At 34.7% G+C, this 27625-nt stretch overlaps 1 protein-coding gene across 10 annotated transcripts in view; it reads right to left on the bottom strand.

Annotated features, from left to right (window-relative positions):
* Nucleotides 1–490: 490 nt before the first annotated feature.
* Nucleotides 491–27625, bottom strand: part of SYCP1 (synaptonemal complex protein 1) — a 141283-nt gene continuing 114148 nt past the window's right edge. For 9 of the 10 annotated variants that reach the window (XM_017002184.2, NM_001282541.2, NM_001282542.2 and 6 more), the window contains 5 exons: nucleotides 18245–18304; nucleotides 14349–14525; nucleotides 10993–11136; nucleotides 1074–1163; nucleotides 491–979 (listed from right to left, as the gene is read on the bottom strand). In XM_017002184.2, coding sequence (XP_016857673.1) covers nucleotides 842–979; nucleotides 1074–1163; nucleotides 10993–11136; nucleotides 14349–14525; nucleotides 18245–18304 — 609 coding nt within the window. In that variant the 3' untranslated portion in view covers nucleotides 491–841. Of the gene's footprint in view, nucleotides 980–1073; nucleotides 1164–9579; nucleotides 9683–10992; nucleotides 11137–14348; nucleotides 14526–18244; nucleotides 18305–27625 lie in introns of all 10 variants that reach the window. The other variant, NR_104211.2, reaches the window with a different exon arrangement.

The following is a 27625-nucleotide window of genomic DNA, read 5'->3' as shown; positions in this document are numbered from 1 at the left end:
CAAATGTCACTTCAGTAAGGGATATCATACCTAAAATATAGCCTTCTTTATACTCCTTAATACTCTTCCCTGTTTTATTTTTCTTCTTAGCAGTTATCATTAACTAATATACTGTGTTTTATTTATTTTGTTAATTGTCTATTTCCCTCACCAGAATGTAAGCTCTAGGAAAACACAAGTTATTTTTCTGTTTTGTTCACTATTACATCCCCAGTATCTAGAACTCTGTTTGACTCTTAGTAAACATTAATAAATATTTGCTTAATAAATGTTGTATAAATTAAATATTTCAGGAAGTCATACTGGTATAGCCACTTTTTCCTGCCACTAAAAGCCATTTCTCAATTTCATAAAATAAAAAAGTCAAAGCTGCCTCAGAAGTACAAAACTCCTCTACAATGCTCTCAAGACTTTACAATGAATAATATTCCCTCAAAATTATAATGATGAGCTGTTTATAGGACCTAACAGAATCAATAAGAAGCACGTATTTGCATCCAAAATATTTTAATAGTAAAGAATAAAGAATGACCCTCAATAATGCATTCTTAGCATTCAAAGGCTAACTTTACAAATTTGAAAACTTAGTAAAAACAGTTTTCATGAATACAAGAAAAAGTAACAACAATATATAATCATCTAATTATCTGAATACAATGACAGGTTTCCAGACAATATGTAGTTAACATTTAGGCTAAAAATATAAAGAAACACAAATCATTCATGCAAGTATTTTTTAAGTCTCAACTTCCAGATAAAATTTGGCTCTGGCAAATAAGAACAAAATATTAACTATAAGTTTCACGTTATTAGGCTCCTTAACTACACTGATTCTCTGAAATTAAACAAATAACTTTTCAGCTTCTTTTAGTTTTTTTTTTCTATCCATTTTAGCAATTACAGCCCAACGGTCCTCCCGCATTTTTCTTATAGCTCCAAACTTCAGTGTAGATCCAGGGGTTGTTAGAGATGAAGGGGCCTGAGTACAAAATAAAATTTAAAAATCATAACATGTTTAATTTTTTAAGTGCAGCTTTTAAAATTTGCTTTCTGAAATAAAATTTAAAAGCTACCTTTTTTGGTGTTTTGACACAAAGATGAGAAGCTGGTGGATTATTGTTCCTATACAGTGTTTTCAATGTCTCTTCTTCTGAAACCATGCTCTTGAAGAAAAATAAAAAAATATGATGTTGGGTTTACCATCATTAATATTATATTATTAACATTTTGTCAACATATCACATGTGAGGAGAACAAAGAGTAGAAAGAGGAAGGATGTAGAAGGGAGAAGGGCAAAGGGAGGAGGAAAGAGAAAGAAGATTATAGAGAGAAGAAAGAAGACCAAACAAAGAAAACAGTAACAAAATAAATCAATTGGCCAAGAAAGGACCTAGATTTTTATTCTATTAACTGTATTACTGAAAGGCTATGTGAAATACAAGACATGTATAGCGAGTAGCATTTCTCTACTGATTTCTATTTCAGTTTCAGAGTCTTTATAATGCCATCTTGTCCTCCTTCCCTGACCCCGTTTATTCAAACTCACATTTATAGCTTATAACAAGTATTTATAATTCTAAAAAAACTTATAATATTATCTATGATCCAGCAATTCCACTTCTGGATATATACTCAGTAGAATTGAAAGCAGAGTCTTGAAGAGATAATTGTACACCCATGTTAATAGCAGCATTATTCACAATAGTTAAAACATGGAAGCAACCCAAGTATCCATCCGTGGATGAATAAATAAGCAAAATGTGGTGTATACATACAATGGAATATTATTCAGCCTCAAAAAGGAAGAAAATTCTGATATATGCTACAACATAGATAAACCTTGAGGACATAAATGAAAAAAAAAATGGTCACAAAAGAACAAATCCTGTATGATTCTACTTATATGAGATATTTAGTGTAGGGAAAATCATAGAGACAGAAAGTAGAATGGTGACTGCCAGGGCCTGGGGGAAAGTGGAATAAAGAGTTATTGTTTAATGGGTAGAAGGTTTTAGTTGTGATGAAGAGTTATGGAGCTGGATGGTGGTGATGGTTACACAACATTATAAATGTATTTAATAACATTGAACTATATAATTAAAAAGAGTTAAGATGGTAAGTTTTATGTGTATTATACCAAAATAAGAAATAAATATAATGTTGTCACTTAATTTACAATTATTGTAATTCTCCCAAATAATGATAGCTAACACTTATTTAGTACTTTCTAGTACCAGTCTCTATTTTAATCACTTTGCATATTTTAATTCCTTTTAATCTTCATAACAATTTTATAAAGTAGGTATACCATTATCCCCATTTTGCAAGTGAGAAAACTCAGGCATACAAATATTAAGTAATGTACCCTAGATTATATAGCTAGGAAGAGGTGGAAGGAAATTCAAATTCAGGTAATCTGGCTCCAGAATCCCTTCTCTTAATGAATATGAAACACAATTTAGTCATGTAAGCAGTCAGTTCACACAATTTTTTCATGCTCATTAAAGCCACATTTAACAAAAACTTCAGAAGCTTTGTGGATGAGAAATTTCAAACAGATTTTTATAAATCTAAGATTTCAACAGAATTCAATAAATAAGTCATAGAGCTACCTTTGCAGATATACTCAGAATCAGTGTGTACCAACTGACCAGCTTAAACAAGATAAATTATCTTTAAAATCATGTGGTTTAAACTATCATTACAATTTTACTTAGTGCAAGGTAATTGATTATTCATCATGAGTCTCCATATAAAAATGATTAATAAGTTAATTCAATTTAAAACAACAAAACCTTATCATCTGTCCTCATGACTCTTCATAGCATTCATCTTTTCATGTGTTTATAGGCCATTTATGTTTCATCTTTGGAGAAATGGCTATTCGAATCTTTTCTCCCCACTTTTCAATTGGGACTTTTTGTGGTTATTAATTGTGGGAGTTCTTTATATATCCTAGATATCAATCCCTTGTCATATATATGATTTTTAAATATTTCCTCTCACTATTTACCTTGTCTTTTCACTTTCTTGATAGTCTCCTTTAATTCACAACAGTTCTTAATTTTGATGCAGTCCAATTTATCTTTTTTTCTTTCATTACCTGTGCTTTTGGTGTCATCCATAAAAGTTGCTGCCAAATCCAGTGTCATGAAGATTTTGACAGTGTTTTCGTCTATAGTTTTATAGTTTTAGCTCTTAAGTTTAGGTCTTTCATCCATTTTGAGTCATTTTTTATATGATATAAAGGATCCAACTTAATTCTTTTGACATGTGGACAGTTTTCCCAGCACCATATGTTGAAAAAAATGTTCCTTCCCCATTGAATGGTCTTGGCACTCTTGTCAAAAATCAACTGACTATGTATGTGAGGGTTTATCTCTAGGCTCTCTATTCTATTCCATTGGTCTGCCTGTCTGACCTTATACAAGTACTATGCTGTTTTAATTACTAGCTTTGTAGTAAGTTTCAAAGTTAGGAACTGTGAGTCCTCCAACTCTATCCTTATTTTTCAAGATTGTTTTAGCCTTTTGGGGCCCTTTGCAATTCCACATTAATTTGAGTATTTTTTCCATTTATGCAAAAAAAATTGTTGGAATTTTTATAGAAATTGCATTGAATCTGGAGATTTGGGTACCACTGACATCTTAACAATATTTAGTCTTTCTATCAATAAACATAGGATGTCTTTCCATTTATTTAGGTCTTTCAAAATTTCTCTCACCAGTGTTTTGTAATTTTCAGTGTACAAGTATTTTACTTCCTTGGTTAGATTTGTTCCTAAGTATTTAAATTCTTTTAGATGCTATTGTGAATAGAATTTCTTTCTTAATTTCATTTTTTGATTGTTCATCGCTGGTATATAAAAACATAATCAATTTTTGTATGTTGATATTGTACCCTACAACTTTGCTGAATTTATTTATTAGCTCTAATAGCTTTCTTAAAGAGTCTTCGCAATTTTCTATGCATAAGATCATGTCATCTGTGAAGAGAGGCAGTTTTACCTCTTCCTTTCCATCTGAATGCCTTCTATTATTTTTCTTTTATAGTATCTCTAGTTAGAATTTACAGTACAATGTTGAATAGCAGCAGTGAAAGTGGGCACCCTGCCTCATTCTTAATATTAGGGGGTAAGTCTTTCAGTCTTTCACCATTGAGTATGATGTTAGCTAGGGGTTTCCATAAATACCCTTTATCATGTTGAGGAGATTTCCCTCTATTCCTAATTTTCTGAGAGGTTTTCTACCATGAAGCATGTTGGATTTTGCCAGGTACCTTTTTTTGCATCACGATGATGATATGGCTATTTTTTCCTTTGCTCTATTAATGTGGTTTATTACACTGTTTTATTTTCTTATGTTGAACCTCCCTGGCATTCCTGGGATAAATTCCACTTGGCCATGGCAAATAATTTTTAATATGCTATTGAATTTGATTCGCCAATATTCTGTTGAGTAGTTTTACATCTAATTCATAAGAGATATTGGTCCGTAATTTTCCTTTCTTGTGGTGCCTTTATATGCTTTGGTATCAAGGTAATTAATGCTGGCCTCATACAATGAGTTAGGAGGTGTTCCTTCTTCAACTTTTTGGAAGAATTTAAGAAGAATTGATGTTAATTATTTTTAAGGTCTTAACATATATGTCAAATTTTTATTCTGAGAAGTTTTTACCAATTTATACTCCTCTATCAGTGTATTTGGATTCAAGCTTCCAATAATAATAATCACAATTTTAATATTAATTGATCATTTGCCCTGTGCCAGATGATCTGCTAAACATTTTATAAGCATTATTTAACTTATTCTCAAAAAGCCGTGAGGTGATTACTAATATTATCTGTATGCAAGGGATACAGATAAAGAGATGCGTAGGGCAAGGTATGGGGGAAGGTGCATGGCACTTTCATGCCTTTCTTGGGTGTGCCACCCTGTGGGAAATTCCCTGTGTTCAGTTATCCAGAAGCTCTAGTGTTAATTCTTTAAATATTTGGTAGAATTTATCAATGAAGCCAACTGGTCCAGAACTTTTCTTTGTTGAGGTTTTTGATTACCAATTTAAACTCTTTACTTGTTACAGGTCTATAGAGGTTTTCTATTTCTTTTTGAGTTCATCTAAGGAATTTGTGAGTTATAAGGAATATTTCCATTTATTCTGGGTTATCTAATTTGTTGGCATACAATTATTTATAGTATTGTCTTATGATTCATTTTATCTCTGAACGGTCAGTAGTATCCCCACTTTCATTTTTAATTTTGTTCTCTCTCTCTAGCTAAAGGTGTGCCTATTTTGTTGATCTTTTCAAAGAACCAACTATTTTTGGTTTCATTGACTTTCTTGTTTTCTATTCTCTAACTTAGCTCTGTTCTAATCTTTATTATTTCCCTCAATCTACTAGGTTTGAGTTTAGTTTGCTCTTTTTTTTCTAGTTCTTTACTAAGGTATAAAGTTAGGTTATTGATTTGAGATCTTTCTTAATAGGCACTTATAACTACAAATTCCTCTCTGAGCACTGTTTTTGCTGTATCCCATAAGTTTAGGTATATTGTGTTGTCCTTTTCATTAATCTCTAAGTATTTTCTAATTTCCCTTGTGAATTCTTCTTTGACCCACTGATTGGCTAAGAGTGTGTTGTTTAATTTCCACAAATTTGTAAATATTCCAGTTTTCCTTATCTTATTGATTTCTAACTGCATCCCATTGTGGTCAAATAAAATATCTTGTGTAATGTCTATCCTTTAAAACCTATGAGATTTGTGACCTAACATATGATCTATCCTGGGGAATGTCTCATGGGCACCTGAAAGAATATGTATGCTGTTGTTGTTGGGTAGAATGTTATACATGTCTGTTAGACCTAATTAGCTTATTGTGTTGTTCAAGTCCTCTATCTCCTTATCTTCTGTCTGGTTGTTCTATTCATTATTGAAAGTGGGTTACTGAAGTGTCCAACAATTATTTTAGAACTGTCTGTTTCTCCCTTCAATTCTATGAAGTTTTGCTTCATATATTTAGAAGGTCTGTTATTAGGCGTGGACATGTTTAAAATTGTCATATCTTCTTGCTATATTAAACTTTTTATTATTAATGTCCTTTGTGTTTCTTGCACTTTTTAATTTAAAGTCTATTGTGTCTGATAGTAGTATAGACACTTCAGCTATTTTTTGGTTACTATATGCACAGAATATCTTTTTCCATTCTTTCACGTTTTATCAATTTGTGGCTTTGGATCTAAAATGAGTGTCTTGAAAACAGCATATAGTTTTCATGTTTTTAAAATATATTCTGCCAATCTATATCTTTTGATAGGAGAGTATAATCTATTTACATTTAAAGTAATGATCTATAAGGAAGGACATAGCTCTGAATTTTGCTATTTGTTTTCAATATGTCTTATAGGGTTTTGTCTCCATTATTATAGGGTTTTGTCTCCTCCATTACTGTCTTATTTTCCATTTAGGTGACTTTTGTACTTGAACATTCTGATTCCATTCTCATTTCTTTTTGTGTATATTATATAATTTCATTGTAGTTACCATGGAGATTACATTTAACTTCCTAATGCTATAACAATCTAATTCAAATTTATACCAACTGAACTTCAATAGCCTATAAAAACTCTGCCCCTACACAGCTCCATCTTCCCTGTTTTGTTTTTGGGGTTTTTTTTGGTTTTTTGTTTTGTTTTGTTTTGACAGGATCTAATTCTGTCACCCAGGCTGGAGGTCAGTGGTGTGATTATGGCTCACTGCATCCCTGACCTCCCAGGCTCAAATGATCCTTACACCTCAGCCTCCTAAGTACCTGGGTCTACAGATGTGCACCACAATGCCTGACTAATTTCCATATTTTTTGTAGAGACAGGATCTCATTGTGTTACCCAGGCTGGTCTCAAACTTCCACCTGCCTCAGCCTCCCAAAATGCTGGGTTTACAGGTGTGAGCCACTGTGCCCAGCCCATTTTCTGTTATTGATGTCACAAACTACATCTTTATACATTGTGCGCCTAGTAACATAAATTAACCATTTATATGCATTTGTCTTTAAAATCATATAGAAAATAAAAACTGAAGTTACAAACCAGAATAACAATACTACTAGCTTTTATAAATTGCCCATGTATTTACGTTTACCAGAGATATTTATTTATTCATACAGCTTCACTGTCTAGCAGCCTTTCCATCTGAAGATGTCCCTTTAGTACTTTTTGAAGAGCAGGTTTAGTGGTAACAGACTCTTTATGGCTTTTGTTTATCTGGAAATATCTCAATTTCTTCTTCATTTTGAATGACAGTTTTGCTGGATATAAAATTCTCAGTTGATAATTTTGGTCTTTCAGCACTTTGAATATATAAATTCACTGTCTTCTGGCATCTAACATTTCTGATGAAAAATCAGCTGATAATTTTGTTGAGAATAACTTGCATGTAATGAGTTGCATCTCTCTTGCTGCTTTCAAGATTCATTTTTTCTCCCAACAGTTTGATTATAAAATGTCTTGATGGGGGCTTTTTGGAGTTTGTTGAGCTTCGTGAATTTGTATATTCATGTCTTTCATCAAAATTTGGGAAGTTTTTAGCATTTATTTCTTCATATAACTCTTTCCACCTCTCTCTCTCTTTTTCTCTCTCTGTCTACCCCCCCACCTCTTCCTCTCTCCCTCTTCTCCTTCTGGAATTCCTACAATGTATATATTGGCCCAGCTGATGGTGTGCTACAAGACTCTGAGGCTCTGTTCACTTTTCTTTTCTTTTCTTTTTCTTTTTTTTTTTTTTTTGCCGTTTATCAGACTCAGTAACTTCAATTGTCTATCTTTACGTTCACCAATTCTTTTTTCTGCTTACTCAAATCTGCTTTTAAATCCCTCTAGTGGGTTTCTCATTTCGGTTATTGTACTTTCAGTTCCAGAGTTTTTTTCTGGTTCTTTTTATAATTTCTAACTCTCTATCAATATTCTCATTTTATTCACACAAAATTAGGGTTTTTTTTTCTTTGTCCATGTCTTCCTTTAGCAATTTGAGCTACTTTAAGACAGCTGTTTTGAAGTCTTTGTCTAGTAATTCCAATGTCTGAGCTTCCTCAAGGATAATTTCTGTTGGTTTGTTTTGTTCCTTTGAATGGATCATATTTTCCTATTTATTTGTATGCCTTATGATTTGTTACTATTGGTCTTTTGGTTTAAAAAAATTTTTAGAGACAAGGTCTCACTCTGTCACCTAGGCTGGAGTGTAGTGACATAATCATAGCTGACTATAACTTTGAACTCCTGGGCTCAAGTGATCCTTCTACCTCAGCCTCCTGAGTAGTTAGACTACAGGCCATGTGCCACCACACCTGGCTAATTTTTTAAATTTTTGTATAGAGAGGGTCTCACTGTTGCCCAACTTAGTCTCAAACTCTTGGCCTCAAGAAACCTTCCTACCTTGGCCTCCCAAAGTGGTGAAATTACAGGCGTGAGCTATTGTGCCTGGCCCTTGTTGTTGAAAACTGGACATTTGAATATTATACTTTGGTAACTCTGGAAATAAGATTTTCCCTCTTCCCCGGGATTTTCTGTTTTTGTTTGTGTTCTGTTTTCTTTTGTTTTACTGTTGAAAGTCTGTGCCAGGGATCAGCCTGAGATAAAAGCTTATGGTCTTCTCCCGTCTTTTTTAAGCCTCTTTGCTTAAACATGTGCTATAGCTAAATTCCTTTTTGCTTTGCTTTTGAATATCCTAATCCTTAAATGCCTGGCTTCCCAAAGGGTAAAGATGGAAAAAGAGAAAAGGAAAAAAAAAAAAAGATAGATGTGCTTCATGTAAATTCCTGGAAGTTGCTTCAGCCAGTGGGGGTTGAAACACTGAACTCTGATGTTTGAAGGACAAGTCCTATTGCCCCCTCTGGCACCAGCAAGTCACTCAGGGAACATGAGCATGGCTTCCTGACACAGGACTGTAGGCTGGGGAGACTGGTAGCTGCTATCATATTTTAGGCTGAAATCAACCTAAATTAACTGCAATTTACCAGCTAACCTTTCCCCTGGAAGCTATAAACATTCAAATAAGACTGCATACTTATAAAATAGTTACTTCAGACAGTTTCTGCCAGTATACTTTTTGTCTAGGTAGAGAGATGGATTCCTGGCACTTCCTACTCCACCATCTTCCTGAGGTCATGCTCAACAACCCATTTTTAAATCTTAATTTTTATAATTTGAATGTTCAAAATTTAACTACATAAGCTAAGAAAATTACAAAATGACTAATAGGTTCATATAATAATTATAACCAGGAAACTGATTGTGAAATGTGTTTTTAGACTAGTTTGAACAATTGTGTGCAATTCTATAATACTGTAATATGTTTATTGTGTTGCAAGTTTGTGATGCTCCTTTTAGAAATGAAATGAATCATGTTGAATCATTCTGAATCTCAGATCAGCTAAGAAATTGGCCTAAACTCAAACTGCTAGAATAATAACAGGGATTACAATCCTAGAATGTTTAATTCTAAAGCTCATTTTCTTTCTAATTCTCATTACATTTTTATATATCTGGACTACATTTTGAATTGGCAGTTATCATGTGCAATGACTTACATAGTCTATGAAGCCAGACTGTGTTCAAATTTTGGTTCCATGTCTTACTAACTATGTGATCTTGAAAAATATACTTGTGTGACTCAGTTTCCTCATCTGTAAACTGGAAAGAACAGTATATACTGTGATCTCTTAGTATCCATGGGGGATTGGATCCAGGATCCCTCCATGCATGCCAAAATCTGTGGATGTTTATGTAAAATGATATAATATTTGCATGTAACCTATGTACTTCCTCCTGTATACTTTAATCATCTCTAGGTTACTTATAATACCCAATACAATGTAAACACTATATAAATAGTTATGTTGTATTGCTTTCTTATTTATATTATTTTCTACTGAATTGTTATTTATTTTTTTTTTTTTCAAATTTTTTGGCCTGTAGTTGGTTGAATACACAGATGTAGAACCTGTGAATACAGAAGGCCAACTGTATTTCTAAAGGCTGGAATTGTTATAAGAAATAATTAAAGTAATCTTCGTTGTATAAAGTGTTTACAATAGTACCTGGTTCACAGTTTTAATTGTTAAGATGTTGATAATTATCTATAAAACAAAGGGGTTCTGAAGTAGGGACTCTATATGTTAACTTCAATATTTAGGGTTTTAAGACTTCAACTACTCATTATTCCAGAAAAAAATGAAAATAGAAGGTCCCAAAGTAGTAGAAAAGCTTGAAGGATCTTCTAGTTATAAGTGGGAATAATAAAACAAATGAATTTAACTGGGATTTTGTCATTAAGAATTTTTGGTGCATTGCTCCATTTACTCTGGTATGGTTCACCTTTTTAAAAAAATTAAATGAATCTAAGCTTCATTATTCTCAATAAACCATTATTATGCCTTCAGAAAACAGTGGTATATGTGAATGGGAGTAATTAGTGATACAAAGTGCTAGAGGAAATAGCCTGCTTAAACATGCTGTCCTTAATACATTAACTTCTTTAGAGTGATGGAAATGTTATAGTTGTCAACCAATACCTTGATATAAATATCAACCAGTGATGTAAAAGGAGCATGTATAATATGCAAAATAGAGGGGACGCCTAAATAACAGATTTGGCACAGTAAAATATTCACTCCATCTCTCTTTTTAAAAATATAGTAAGAACTCCTTTATGACATTCTTCTAGAAAACAAGACAATGATTAATCATATCGTATGCCCATTGTGCTATATCAAGTATTTTCAAAGTGCCAGGTTTTCTGAAATTTACAGGGAAATTATTTGAACCCTAATTTTTCTGAAATGCTGCAAAAGCACAAGGATCTGCATTTTAGCAGAGCTCCACTGTATATCAGTATTGCAATGGTAGGTACTATGTAAATATATTATACATGTATATCAAGGAAAATAGTATACAAATAAGTAATATAAATAAATACTAAATATTATTTGTAAAATTTTTACCAAAAGATCAGTAGTTTCTGAACTATCTGAATTAATATCAAATTCAAAGGCCATTTTTCTCTTTTTTTTACTTTCTTCAATGGGTATATTCAAGTTTTCTCTTTGCTGTAGTTTTGGTTTTGTTGGTGTCTTCACTGTATATGCCTATCCAAAAATAAAAAACCATACATTATCATATCAAATAAAATATGCATTATTAATAAAGGGTTTCACAAATAATTTTAAGGCAATTTGAGTCCTTAGCAATCAGAAACCTCCATTATTATTGGCAAGTATATGAGGCAAAAATTTTGGATAAGAATTTAATTCAAATGTTTTTGATACTATAAGTTGTCTTTCTTCAAAAATTTACAATGGTAGACTTTCTCTGCCTTTCCTTTAACTTGCTGAAGAAAATAAGAAAGAGAAAGAGTGAAACAGAGAGACAGACACACTCCAGATTCAGCAATCAACAATCTTAGGGGCCTTAATATTTCTAATCATGATCGAAAAAAATAACTGAGTGAGCTTTGCTCTCTCTACAAAACACCTTATTACATTGTGAGAAAATATGCTTGCTTATTTTTATATTGGTAAAGTAATTCACATTAGTCAATGTTTCACATTCTATACTATCTTGTAATTTTTATAATTTGTAAAAGTATCTTTAAAAAGTAAGGTCAAAAGCCAAGTACAGTGGCTTATGCCTGTAATCCCAGCACTTTGGAAGACCAAGGCAGGAGGATTGCTTGAGGCCAGTTCAAAACTAGACTGAGCAACATAGCAAGACCCCAACTCTAAAATTTTTTTTAATTAAAAAAACATAGCCAGGTATGGTGGCCCATCCCTATAGCCTCAGCTACTCAGGAGGCTGAAGCAGGAGAATTGCTTGAGCCAGGAGTTCAAGGTAGCAGTGGGCCATGATCATGCCACTGCAGCCCAGCCCAGGCAACAGAGCAAAAACAAAAATTAAATTAAATGTAATTTAAAAAGTTAAGGTCAGAGACATCAGTACAAATGGCAGAGTAATGAGCTCTAAAAATTCACTCCTCCATAAAAGCCATAAAAATATTGGTAAAAACTTGTCGGAATCAGTTTTTTTCAGAACTCTGGAAATTAACCAAAGGCTTGCAGCCACCTGGAGAGTGCTTATTCTTTAAAAAAATAAAATAAAATGGCTAAACCTCTTTAGGAAACCCAAACTTCGTGGTGTCTTAACTTCCCCAGTCCCATCCCCTGCTCTAGCTCTATGTTATCCTTAAAGAATAACAGCCCACGTTCCTGGGGCAGCCTGGCAACCACCAGACAGAACAGAACAGAACAGAACTGAAGCTCTTTCAAAGCTTTATTCCCAAAGAATTGTCAGTATTTGATTTGTCTGGTGAGTCTCTGCAAGATCCCACTTACAAGGCTGATAGCTGATTACATTCAACCTGAGGGCTCACTAGTGAAAAAATGCCTTCTCCTTGGTGTGTGTGTGAAGTAGGGGGCAGAATTTGTCAAAAACAACAAACGTTTTAACTTTGCAGCAACGTGAAGCAGTGATGAATAGTTGGGACAAACAAAAGACTAACCAAAAACCTTGAAAGAAAAGCTAGGAAATGAAATATCCATGGGGAAGCTTTGAAAAGCCTTGATATATTCCTGGAAATATAGAAGGCCACGCATATGTGTAGGGCTATCTATAGGCTCAGGAAGGTCCTGAAAAGGCCCTAAGTTTTCACCACTGGCTAATCTTGAGATTCTCTACAAGCAGGAATGGAAAGCTAAGGCAGAGTTGTCAACTACCTGGCTAAGTGTTGAAAGCATGCCCTTATACACATATAATAGAGACCTTTGACAAAGATTGGGAAATTTATTCATTCTAGGCATTTGAAGAAATTTGTGTCCAAACATTAGCTAAAAACTAAGCTAATCAAGGAGAACCTTTAGTGGCACTCACAACAAAAAATACAAACTTTACAGAATTAGTCTAGAAAAGTCACAAAACAAACAATAACTACAACAAGTAGCAACAACAAATCATGGGAATAGGAGAGAATCTGATTTCCAGAGTTGTTATATTTTTAAATGGCCAGTTTAAACAAAAAATATGAGACATGCAAAGAAAGAAGAAAGTATGGCCCAAATAGAAAAGTAAAAGAACAAACAACAGAAACTCTCCCTGAGGAAGCCTTGACATTGGACTTAACTAGACAAAGATTTAAAGTCAGCTATTTTAAATATGTTCAAAGAGCTAAAGAAAATTATGTCAAAGAAATGAAGAAAAGCATGAAAACAACATCTCACTAAATGGAATATCAATAAAAAGAAATAAATTATCAAAAGAACCAAATAGAAATTCTGGAATTAAAAAATACAATAGCTGAAATGAAAAATTTACTAGAAGGGCTCAATAGCAGATTTGGGCAAGCAGAAGAAGAATCCATGAGCCTGAATATAATTCAACTGATATGGAATAGAAAAAAAATGAAGAAAAACAAAGTCTCAGAGACTTGCAGACACCTTGCAGACACCATCAAACACAACTGGGAAACTGAGAAGGAAAAGGCGTAACATTTAAACTTAGTGGGATGGAGACAATTGAGATCCTTTTCAACTCCCAAGACAAGTGAGGCAGGAACTCCAAGAGCATCTTTATAAAGAATATTAGGAGTGCTTCCAAGAAAGAAAGACTGGCATCTCATTCCCTAGTTAGATATGAATGTAGGCAGCAAATTTGTTTGTCTTTGTATCTAGCTGAGGAGAGGAAAAGGAAACGAGAGAGAGGTAAGAGAGATCAAAAGTAAAGCATCTGCACTGCCATTTAGCATGGAAAAGTTGTATGAATTCCCCATGGATTAAGTGGCTATATGAAAGACAGTCAGAACTGAGCCACTTTGCTAGAGGCATCTGCTCCAAGATGACTGCCAAGGACTACAGATGCAAGATGATTGGGGTAAACAGCAAAGGGAAGTAGTAACTGTGGTGATGCTATAAAATGTCAAGTCAGAATCAGATTTCCTGTGTCAGGGCCTTAAACACTGATAAATAACTATTAAGTTATGAAATCTGCCCAAGATGACATTAAGTTGTGGACAGTGATCGAAAAAAATGAAACAATTTCATGTTGAAGGCCAGGCACAGTGGCTTACACCTATAATCCCAATACTTTGGGAGGCCAAGACAGGAGGATGAGTTAAGGCCAGGAGTTCAAGACCATCCTAGGCAACACAGCAAGACCTTGTCTTTACATTTCATGCTGATACCACAAAAAAAATTGAAACTTTCAAGAAACTAGTTATATATGTGTGCGTGATGCCAGATATATGGTGATAACAGAACTTTATTTATTTATTTAAAAAATTACTACTAACATGGAAAATTTAGACACAAACCTTTGGCAATGGTGTAGATAAAGTATTTTTGGCAGATGTCCACAGATAGTCTCTTTTATCTTTGGATATGCCATGATCAACTGATGTGAAATTTCGAGATACAGTTTGTGAAGGAACTGCTTTAGAATCCAATTTCCAATAAATTTCAGGTGTTTCCAATAAAAATGTTTGTGTTTTCTGCATTGAACAACAAGAATGAATAAAACCATCACTAAATGTCACATTAATTATTTATTTCTTTAATTAAAGTGCAGCAACTAGTAGAATTCACAACAAAATAAGCAAATTTATCCCTAAATTTATCACTGACTAGATAAGTTTGAATAAGTTACAGTTATCTTCTTTGTCACTTTACTTGTCCATTTAAGATGCAAATGTTATCTGCCCCTGCCTGTCTTCACAGAGCCTCTATGAAAACAAATAAGATATCCTGGAGGTCGTTATTCTTAGCAAACTAATGCAGGAACAGAAAGCCAAATACCACATGGACTCATTTATAAGTGGGAGCTAAATCATGAGAACACATGGACACATAGAGGGAGACAACAAAACACACTGGGGCCTATGGGAGCATGCAGGATGGGAGGAGGAAGAGGATCAGGAAAAATAACTAACGGGTATAGGTTTAATACCTGGGTGACAAAATAATCTGTACAACAAACCCCCATGACAGAAGTTTACCTATATAATAAATCTGTACATGTACCCCTGAACTTAAAATAAAAGTTAAATTTTTAAAAATGAAAACAAATAAGATATCTCAACTCTCTGACCAAAAGTTGAGGATTCTCTTTAAAAAATAAAAAAAAATCTTTACTCCTGGTGGCAAAAAGCCCTAATCTATGGTTCATTACAATAGCCTAAAAGTCAGAAGGAAATCTATTCTAACTTTCATTCGTTCTCTTTCATACATTGATACTTCTTCTTTTTCACCTATAAAAATATCAGCCTTTTCCTATCCACCAGCCTAACTTGCCTCCAAAAGCAAGGAGAATAATTATGAAAGTAAAGAATGAGAAAAATTTTCAGGGAAAAAAACTGAGAAAATGGCTATTTGCTTCAATTCTAAATAAATAAATTGCAAGTTTACTCTAAATACTTGACATTTTTTCAACTCAGTTTCCTCAGTTCTCTTTCACTCTACCTTTGTATACAGCTTCTTTTAGCACCTGACCTAACTTTCTAGTAAAAGCTAGTAATAGTTGCTTTAGTGGGATTCTACATGAAACTCATGCTCATCACTTTCTATTTTACAGTTTCTTTGGTCACCACCATCTCCACGAATACAATCGTGGCAATTATTCATAAGGAAATTGTAAGGAAATTGAGGCATGTTAATTTACTCAATTCCACAGCTAGTTAGCTGTGAAACTCAAATTCCCCTTTTTCTAGAATCGTGTTCTTTCAGTTCTCCTACTGCCTTTCATTGTAGAGCCCTCCTTTACAGGACCATGTTCTTCTGAGAACATCTCTCCTTTCTCTGAATTCTCTAGAGCACACACACACAAAAAGGGAATACAAGGACAAAATTTGAAAGCATGGTGGCTGAACTTTCAGTGCGTTTAAATTAGAGTATAGGATAAAGAGGCAACTACATGTACTATAAAAAAATCATTGAACTAGGAGCCAGGTACATCATATGGTCTTTTCTCCTAGATCTTTCCTATCTTTCCGGATTATTTAAGTAAATCTTCAAGTATCTCCAAGCTTAAATTTATTCATCTATAAATCAAGAGGCTAAATGAGATGGCTTATATCTTTCCTGCGTAATTCTAGTGATCTGTCATTTCATAATCCTTTTTCTAGCAAGTATGAATTTTTTCAGAATTGCATTTCTGTATCCTTTTCCCTACATATTTATACATCATAGTTGATGACAAAATTTTGATGAGAGCAATTTTTTTACTGCTCTCTGGATTCATCAGGGGTAAACTTTGGAACCGCCAAAATGTAACTGCTTTAATGGACAAATTGTTCCTCCCTACAGGTAGGAGAATGACAATTTAAGGTCACTGCACCACCTTGTGGCCATATCTGGAATTTGACATTTCGCTGGTAGCCTAAAGAAAATTCTCATGTGACAATACTGAACTATCCCTTTCCAGAAAATTCACAATTTTCTCTGTTGTATTTTTCAAACAAACATTTATAAGGCATGTGCTATGTCCCAAGCACTATTTTAAATGTTTTACAAATACCATCTCATTTAATCCTCATAACAACTTTAGGAAATAGGTATTATTATTATCCCTTTATAGATGAGAAAATTGAAACACGAAGAAGTTAAGTAACTTGTCCAAACTCAGAAACGTTTGGTAAATTTAACAAGCCTTATGTTTCAGTAGTGTTGGAATAAAGCACAGCAAAAAAAAAAAAAGCCTAGTTAAATTTCTTCATTCATCATTTTTCTCATTTTCCAACATATATATGGTTCATTTTCCAACATATATATCTAGACTCTCAGATAAAATATATGGCATTTGCTAATCTACTTGATAATGGAAACATATAGAATTGTACATGAATCAAAATATCTCTATAAGAATATGTGATACATACTTTCATAATATGAAGACATTCTAAATTTAAAAAAGAATATTGGAGATTAACCAATTTGCTTATATTCATTAGATACTTCCTTAAGTCTATATCTAACCATTCTGCATAATTTTATTATGATTATAATTTCTTCAGATATAATGTTTTCAAGTGTCTAGCACAGTGTCTGGAACATACAAAGCACTCAGTATTCACTCACAGGTTCAGTGCATCTTTCCTTTATTCTCTTTTAACTCAAGTGTAATAAAATATAATGAACTGTTCTCAAACTACTCTGAGTGTCATTTCCTTCCAGTTTAACTATAATCAGAGCAACCTCTGTGGGAACTTAGGAGATTATATCACTATATGTAAAGAAAATTCTTAATCATTTTAACCAAAAATTTGCTAAATCAAAATTCTTCTGCAATGATCCTATATTATCAAATAGGTTAGAAGCTGAGGGGTATTCTTCTTCTCTATGACTGATGTTTCCTTCCATATGTAGGGAGTACCACTAGGGTAACATTCCAAACCTCTTCCTGATTCCTTAGGGGAGAAAAAATTACTTAATGTGATTGGTGAATTTAAAGAAAAGGAGAAGCTGGACACATACAGCTCAGCCTCTTCCTTATTACTCCCCTTGAGAACTATTAGAATTACACATAAATTCTGCTCTTCTCCTTTATACCCTAAGTTTTACAAGAGCAGATGATCAAGTGGGTAGACCTATGCTAGTCAAGCTCTACTTGTGGCAGAAGATAAATTTGTCTAATTTGGGATTTCAAGATTAAGAGATCCTATTGCCTTCAAATATAAACTGCATTCTCCAGTATTTAAAATATTGATACTTTTTAATAAAGTCTTCAATAATAAAAATATTATTTTTATTCTCCCTTGTCTTTCTCAATTGGTTCAGAATATAAGTGAGGAAAACAGGATGTCATTTATTAAGCCCCCTCAAAACCCAAAATTAGACATAATCTAAATAAACTTTAGAATTGTTTATGAAAATATTTTGCCTCTAACATTAAAAAATTCTTAAGAGAGAAACACAGAGGTACCTAATTAAATTAAAACTATAATAAGAATTGTAGAGAAAGACTGAAACCTTCTTTTTTTCTTCTTTTTTGTTTCTGCATTAGACTGAAACCTTCTCCAAATCTCCAAATGACAAAATTTTGAAATTTTTAGCTAAAATGCTTTTGAATTAATAAATAGCAAGAAACAATTTAGAAAATGAAATTGTATGATATATGTAAAATGTTATTTTCCTACTTATAAACAAAAAATCATTTCTAAGTAGAAGTTAGAAAATGAATTGGTATTTTAAAACTATGAGAATTATATGCTCTTACCTTGTCTTTTTTTTCTTTAAGAGTAGCTGTGTTTTCTTTTGCCTCTCTTTTGAGTTTTTCCTATTAAAAATAAATATCAAGTACAAGTAACATAAACATCACAATGATCACAAATGAATATTATCAAAATCTTTCCTAGTAAGTATTAACAAAGAAAGATGACGAACCTCTCAATCTTATAAAGTAATAAAAAGAAAAAAAAGAAAAGTTAGTTCCTTTCTACAGAGGTATTATTTGGTTTTGATTATCTCTTCCTTTATTCTAATCAGTCTCTAGTGTATATCTGTGGACTTTTGAATAAGTCTCTTAAAACTCTGAATCTCAGCTTTCTTATTTGTAAAATAAAGCTAATGGAACAAATTACAGAATGAGAGATACGCACAAGTAACTAAGCTGTGAAAAGTTGCAAAAAGATCTAAAATATTGTGAGCCTTTACAGGCAGAATTAGATTTTTCTATGCATGTTGAGAAAAGGTGCAGTTCAGTTAGACTTTGGGTATGTGTATAGTCAAGATAAAAATGGAAAGGAGAGCTGTGGTCAGAATGGAAAGAGTGATATGCTAATATCATTAGATAGAATTTATTCAGTAAGATAAAAGAAAAGCCTGGCCTACATAAATGAATATGTAGGGTGCCTGTAATATGACAACCATCTGAAGCACAAAATTTTTACAACTCCAGGGAGTATTAGAGGTCTTAGAAAGTAAAAATCTCCAAGTGTGCAGAATTTTAGGCAGTAAAACTCGCCCATGATGTCTATGCCAGTATCTATCCTCACTGAATACCTTGCATACACCATGTTATCTCTCCCATAGCATTGCTCCTAATCACAGAACTCACTTCACTATGAAAGAAGCTGGCTGTAAACTGATGCAATAGTATTTACTGTTCTTATTATGTATCCTATAACCTACCAATGGTTGATCTTCAGTTATAGTGACAATTGGAGTCTACTCTAAGGGGCTGGAATGCTGTCTTTTAGGACAAAGCACATTTTCTAAACCAGCAATATCGTAATGACTCTCAGAATATGTATCTTGGCTTCTAGAGGACAGACGGGAGAAACCATCGCCTACAACTGCACTGTCTCTGCAATTCTGACTTTTCCTCGTCTGGAGATCTTGGTAAAGTCTCTTCTAATATAATATATGTTTCCAAGGTATGAAACAGCTCATACAAGAATGCGTATCTTTAGTGGTAGCTAAATAATCATCAGTTCCCTTAAACCAAAGAGATGGCCAGACCACTAAGGTTCCTATTTAATCTGAATAAGTAAGATATTCCTATAATACGGCCTGGCAAACAGAGAGTTGACTTGATCACCAGAGTAGAGAATGACAACCTTGTAACCAAATTTTGGATCTAAATAAACGTATCAGCCTATAGCCTTTTGAATAAAAAGGAAGCCTGGTACTCTAGTGGAAAAGTTCTGAAATAATATCACAAATACATACTGCATCCTTCCTACTATCTTGTGCACCAAGGATTAAAATATTAAGACATGGGTAATTGCACATCAACTAACATTAATTATTGGGAATCTATAATGCCACTATTTTTTCACTGGTCAGAGTGCAAGCATATCAGCATCAAGCAATAATTAGAATTTTATCAGAGTCTACTTCATGGTGAGCCCATGGAACCATAAACCTATCTTGTGCTCATTTTTTTAGATTCTAAGAATATAGTTTGAACAAACTCAATAAAAGGAATAATCCCCATGTTTGTTCTGACCACAGAGTCACAGAGTAAGAGATTTTAAAGTTGAAAGGACCAACTTTGAATCTCTCTCTCCATATCAAGATAGTAAACAAATTTCACATTGCTAGGCAGAGATTAAGGCCCCATCAAATTAATGAAAGATATAGGAAAAATGATTTATCATAATCCCAAAAAGCCAATCTATTTTAATTAGAAGTTAAGACAGTCATCTAGTAACAGTTTCCTATACCAATGGGCTTATAGGTAAAGTGGGGATTGTCATATTGACTGAGAACTTGGAAAAAAGTTGCATATAAAAGATGAGCTGAATCTATGTAAATATAAAGCTCAAGTTAAAGAGATACAGGAATCATAGTGAAATAATAGAATATACATTTTTATCAATCTTGACAATGTAAAATAATAAATACTAAAATTGTATATGTAGGGCAATATGAAACAGGAGACAGTATTAGATACATTATTTTAAAATATAAAGGTAATCAATAAACTAATTTAAAAGACTACATATACCTTCCAAATCAACCAAAGTAAGACACACACACACACACACACACACACTTACTTTAGAGAATAAGAAAGAAAATATGTAGTGAATATGTAGTGAAAAATAAGATGACAAAAACATTATTAAGATATATAATCAATGAAGAGTTAATATCCAGAATCATAAACAACTCCTACAACTCAACAACACAAAAATTGGATTAAAATTATTATTAACCCAATTCAAAAATGGGCAAAAGACTTGAATAATCAAACCACCAAAGAAGATATACAATGTCCAACAGGCATATTAAAAATAGTCACCATTGCTAATCATATGAGAAATGCAAATCACAGCCACATGAGATATTGCCTACACACATTAGGATGGCCACTATCAAATGAATAGGAAATAACAAATGCTGATGTGGATGTGGAGAAATTAGAATCCTTATGCACTGCTGTGTGGGAATGTCAAATGGTACAGTCACTACAGCCAATATAGAGGTTCTCAGAAAATTAATGATACAGTTGCCATATGATCTAAGAATCCCACTTCTGGAAATATATCCAAAAGAATTCAAAGCAAGATTTTAAAGAGATAGTTGCACACTCACATTCATTACAGCATTATTCACAATAGCAAGAGGTAGAAGCAACTCAAATGTCCATCAAAAGAAAAATAATAAGGAAAAGATGGTATACACATATAATAGAATATTATGCAGCCTTTAAAAAGGGCATCCTGTTACATACTACAACATAGATAAACCTCGAGGACATTATGCTAAGTGAAATAAGCCAGTCACATAAGCACAAATACTGTATGATTCCACTCATATAAAGTATTCAAAATCAGAAACAGGATGTGCAAAGGTGGTTGCCAAGGACTGGGAGGAAGAGGAAAAGGGAATTCGTGTTGAATGGGTATAGACTTTTAGTTTTACAAGATGGAAAACTACTAGAGATCTGTTGCACAACAGGATGAATATACTTAACACTGCTGAACTGTACATTTAAAAAGTGTTAAGATGGTGCACTTAATGTTATATGTTTTTATCACAATAACAAAGTTAAAGTACAAACCATTCAACTTATGCATATCAACATAAAAGTGCTAAATAAAATATTGGCCAGCATTATCTAACATCACATTTTAAAAATACATCATAACCAAATAGAGTTTATTACAGAAACACAAGAATAAATCAAAACTGATACATATCATATCAACAAATACAATCAGGAAAACTAGCCTATTAGTCAAAAAAAGACTCTTGGATTACAGATTCAATCAAGGTTAATAAAAAGTAGACAAAAACACAGGAGACAAATACAAGAAGAAAGTGAGGGTCACAATATGAATACCAGATAAAGCTGACTTTGGGGCAAAAATACAAAAATAAAGTATACTATTTCCAAAAAAAACAATGAATTAGTATAAACTTTTATACAACAAATAGTATTCATCAAAATATGCAATGCAAAATTAGTAGAGAATTCAAAAGGAAGAGAAAGATAATAGTAATAGAACCCTTAACTCCTTTTAGCTCATGACTGATCAAACAGAAAAAATATATAAGAAATTTGAAGTACACATAATTGAAATAATACAGTAAATCAAACTTCTTGGTAAAGATGGTAAAGCCAGCTTACAAAATCTTCCTTCTCCTAAACTAACAACAACAACAAAAAAGCAAGACAGGAAGAGAGGAAAGAAACAAAAGTAGTTAAAAACTGGCAAAAATACATTCAACAACAAAAACATACAATCTCATGCTATAATCGGTAATACTAGTGAGGCTCAGTAAGAGAGCCACAATATACAAATGTGCTCATTTCACCCTACTCACTGTGGCTCCTCACCCTATTACTACTTGTATAGTATTGGTGAAAGAAAATGAAAACATATAATAATGAAAGTAAAGGTCACTAATATACCTGAATTTTGTAAGAAGAGATTTGAGGACATAAATAGGCAATCCAGGAAAAAGATGCCTAGAAAATGCATAATGAGTGATCAGCAGGAAAAAACCACTTAAGTTTATATTTTGGTCTCTCTCGATTGGAGAAAGGAAGCACAACCACAACCATAAAGAATTAGTTATCCTTGCCAATAAACAGAACATACTAGACATAAAGTCAAAAGATAAACTTCTTAAACAGAAGATTCCTCTAAAAGAATACAAAGCACAAAAAGAGACTCACTAAGAGCACCAGGTAAATTTTATCTTTTTCTCTGGGCTCCTTTCATCACCCTGTAAGCAGAATATCCCAAATCATATTTATATCTTTTCACTCACAAAGCTGTGCAAGTGACATAACAAGAGCTTGAAGAGACGTAAAATGGCAAAAATAAATAACCACGGCTTATCCTATCAGATAGACACACAGGCCCCAGGGCTCTACACTGAGCTGGTAAAAAGATCTGAAGCCTGAGGGAAATACATAACAAGAAAACTACGAAACACTGGACTTAATCTGCACTATAGACCAAATGGATCTAATAGATATTTATAAATATTTCATCCAACAGTTGCAAAATAAACATTCTTCTCCTAAGCACATGAATCAGTCTTAAGGACAGACCATATGCTAGCCACAAAACAAGTCTTAAACATTCAAAAATGGAAATCACATCAAGTATCTTCTCTGACAACAATGAAATAAACCAGAAATCAATAACAAAGGGAATTTTGGAAACTATAAAATCACATGGAATTTAAACAATATGCTCCAGAATGACCAGTGGGTCAAAGAGGAGATTAAAATGGCAATCAAAAAATTTATTGAAACAAATAATTGGAATACAACAACAAAATCTAAAGGATACAGCAAATGCAGTACTAAGAGGGATGTATATAGCTATAAACACCTACATCAAAAAGGAAGAAAAACTTCAAATAACCTAATGATGCATCTTAAAGAACTAGAAAAGCATGAGCAAACCAAACCCAAAGTTAGTAGAAGAAACAATAAAGATCAGAGCAGAAATAAATGAAATTGAAGAAAATGATACAAAAGATCAACGAAACAAAAAGTTTACTTTTTTGAAAAGATAAACAGAATGACAAACCGTTAGCCAGGCAGACTAAGGAAAAAAAGAGAGAGGCCTCAAATAAATAAAATGAGAGAAGGAAAAGGAGACATTACAATCAATACCACAGAAATTCAAAGGATCGCTAGAGGTTACTATGAGGTAAATATATGCCAATAAATTTTAAAACCTAAAAATAAATAAATTCCTAGCCACATACAATCTACAAAGATTGAACCATGAAGAAATCCAAAACTTGAATAAATCAATAACATCTAGCAAGATTGAAGCTATAATAAAAAGTCTCCCAGCAAAGAAAAACCTAGGACCCAATGGCTTTACTGCAAAATTTTACCAAACATTTAAAGAAGAATTAATACCACCCCTGCTCAAACTATTCTGAAAAATAGAGGAGAGGGGGTTACTTCCAAACTCATTCTATGAGGCCAGTAGTACCCTTAAACCAAAACCAGACACAAAGACACATCAAAAAAAGAAAACTAAAGGCCCATATCCCGGATGAACATTGATGCAAAAATCCTCAAAAAATACGAGCAAACCAAATTCAACAACACATTGAAACATCATTCATCATGGCTGTGTGATTTATCCCATGGATGCAAGAATGATTCAACATACACAAATAAATCAGTGTGATATATCATATCAAACCATATGATCATTTCAATTGATGCTGAAAAAGCTTTTGATAAAATTTAACATCCCTTCATGATAAAAACCCTCAATAAAACTGGGTATAGAAGGAATGTATCTCAACATAATAAAAGCCGTATATGACAGACTCACAGCTAGTATCATACTGAATGGCGAAGTACTGAAAGCTGCTGGAGCAAGATCTCAGCCCTACACACTGGAGGTCTGGATATAAATTTGGCTCTGTTGGCTGTTGTGGGAGTACAGAGGGAGTGAAACTGGCCTTGCTGGCTGTGTGGGAGCTGGGTGAGGCCTGTCAATGCCAACTTTCCCCCTACTTCCCTGGCGAACTGTACAAAGCATCAGAGGGAGCCATAATCCCCCTTGGAACATAACTCCATTGGCCTGAGAACCACTACCCCACCCCTCACAGTGGCAGCAGCAAGCCCTGCCCAAGGAAAGTCTGAGCTCAGAAACGCCTAACCCTGCCCCCACCTGATGGTTTTTCTCTACCTGACGTAGTAACTGAAGACAAAAGACATAAATTCATGGGAGCTCTATGGCTCTGCCCATTACCTGAGAAACCTGAATACTTATCCAGGTGATGTTAGGCCAAGTTTGTATCCCTCCACACTACCATCGATGTTGCTCTCTTAAAGACAACACCATGTGGCTGGAAGCCAACCAACTCAAGGCATTACAGCAACTCATAACAGACCAACCCTACTCCAAGGAAGGGGAAAACAACATCTAATTCCACCGGCTGTAACACCCTGGCTAACCAGAGGTCCTGAACTTGTTCACATCACAACTTCACTGCCAGCATAACCAGCATTTGAGAAAACCAGCATACTAAACAAAACTACAACCAAGGACTCTCATAGAGTCTGCTTCACTGCCCTGCCACCTCCACTGGAGAAGGTGCTGGTAGCCACGGCTGAGAGACCTGAAGATGAATCACATCATAGTACTCTTCACAGACACTCCCCACTACCAGCCTAAAGCCTGATAGCTCCACTGGGTAGCTAGACCCAGAAGAGCAATAACAATCACTGCAGTCATGCTCTCAGGAAGCCCCATCCCTAGGGGAAGAGGGAGAGCACCACATCAAGGGATCACCCCATGGGACAAAAGAATCTGAACAGCAGCCCTTGAGTCCCAGATCTTTCCTCTGACATAGTCTATCCAAACTAGAAAAAAAAAAAACAATTCTGGTAATATGACAAAACAAGGTTCTATAACACCATCAAAAGATCACACTAGCTCACCAGCAATGGATCAAAACCAAGGAGAAATCTCTGAATTGCCAGAAAAAGAATTCAGAAGGTCGATTATTAAGCTACTCAAGGAGGCACCAGAGAAAGGTGAAAACAAACTTAAAGAAACTTAAAAAATAATACAGGATATGATTGAAAAAAAATCTCTGAAGAAACAGATATCATAAAAAAAAATCACAGCTTCTGGAAATGAAAGACATGCTTACAGAAATGCAAAATACACTGGAAAATTTCAACAATAGAACCGAACAAGTAAAGGAAAAGACTTTAGAGCTCAAAGACAAGGCTTTCAAATTAATCCAATCCAACAAAGACAAAGAAAATATGGGGACAGGGGGCTGGCAAGATGGTCAAATAGAACAGATCTGGTCTGCAGCTCCCAGTGAGACCAATGCAGAAGGTGGGTGATTTCTGCATTTCCAACTGAGATACCCAGTTCATCTCATTGGGACTGGTTAGACAGTGGGTGCAGCCCACAGAGGGCGAGCAGAAGCAGGGGTGGGTGTTGCCTCACCTGGGAAGTGCAAGGGACCGGGGAACTCCATCTACTAGCCAAGGGAAGCCATGAGGAACTGTGCCATGAGGGATGGTGCTACCTGGCCCAGATACTATGTTTTTCTTATGGTTTCTGCAACCCACAGACCAGGAGATTCCATTGGGTGCCTACACAACCAGGGCCCTGGGTTTCAAGCACAAAACTGGGTGGGTGTTTGGGAAGACACCTAGCTAGCTGAAGGTGTTTGTTTTTGTACCCCAGTTGCACATGAAACTCCAATGAGACAGAACTGTTCGCTCCCCTGGAAAAGGGGCTGAAGCCTGGGAGCCGAGTAGTCTTGCTCAGTAGATCCCATCCCCATGGAGCCCAACAAGCTAAGATCCACTGGCTTCAAATTCTCACTGCCAAAACAGCAGTCTAAAGTCAACCTGGGATGCTTGAGCTTGTTGGGGGAGGTGGAGGGGAGTCCACCATTACTGAGGCTTCAGTAGGCGGTTTTCCCTTCACAGTGTAAACAAAGCCACAGGGAAGTTCGAACTAAGCAGAGCCCACCACAGCATGGCAAAGCCACTGTAGCCAGACCACCTCTCTAGTTTCCTCCTCTCTGGGCAGGGCATCTCTGAGAGAAATGCCCTGGAACAAAGCACCTGGGGGAAGGGGCACCTGTGGGTGCAGCTTCAGCAGACTTAAATGTTCCTGCCTGCCAGCTCTGAAGAGAGCAGAGGATCTCCCAGCACAGTGCTCGAGTTCTGCTAAGGGACAGACTGCCTCCTCAAGTGGGTCCCTGACCCACGTGCCTCCTGTTTGGGAGACACCTCCCAGCAGGGGCCAACATACACCTCATATAGGAAGACTCCAGCTGGTATCTGGCGAGTGCCCCTCTGGGATGAAGCTTCCAGAGGAAGGAGCAGGCAGCAATATTTGCTGTTCTGCAGCCTCCGCTGGTGATACCCAGGAAAACAGGGTCTGGAGTACACCCCCAGCAAACTCCAGCAGACCTACAGAAGAGGACCCTGACTATTAGAAGTAAAACTAACAAACAGAAAGCAGTATCATCAACATCAACTAAAAGGATGCCCACGCAAAAACCCCAACTGAAGGTCTCCAACATCAAAGACCAAAAGTAGATAAATCCATGAAGATGAGGAAAAACCAGTGCAAAAAGGCTGAAAATTCCAAAAACCAGAATGCCTCTTCTCCTCCAAAGGATCACAACTCCTTGCCAGCAAGGAAACAAAACTGGATGGAGACTGAGTTTGATGAATTGACAGAAGTAGGCTTCAGAAGGTAGGTAATAACAACCTCCTCCAAGCTAAAAAAGCATGTTCTAACCCAATGCAAAGAAGCTAAGAACCTTGATAAAAGGTTACAGGAAGTGCTAACTAGAATAACCAGTTTAGAGAACAGAAAAGACCTGATGGAGCTGAAAAACACAGCATGAGAACTTCGTGAAACATACACAAGTATCAATAGCTGAATCAACCAAGAGGAAGAAACGATATCAGAGACTGAAGATCAACTTAATGAAATAAAGTGTGAAGACAAGATTAGAGAAAACAGAATGAAAGGAATGAACAAAGCCTCCAAGAAATATGGGACTATGTGAAAAGACCAAACCAACATTTGATTGGTGTACCTGAAAGTGACAGGGAGAATGGAACCAAGTTGGAAAACACACTTCAGGATATTATCCAGGAGAAATTCCCCAA

The sequence above is a fragment of the Homo sapiens genome, chromosome 1 (genome assembly GCF_000001405.40).
Source record: "Homo sapiens chromosome 1, GRCh38.p14 Primary Assembly".
Classification (NCBI taxonomy): domain Eukaryota; kingdom Metazoa; phylum Chordata; class Mammalia; order Primates; family Hominidae; genus Homo; species Homo sapiens.
The sequence above is the reverse complement of the archived record's forward strand: the minus strand, read 5'-3'. Positions and strand labels throughout refer to the sequence as shown.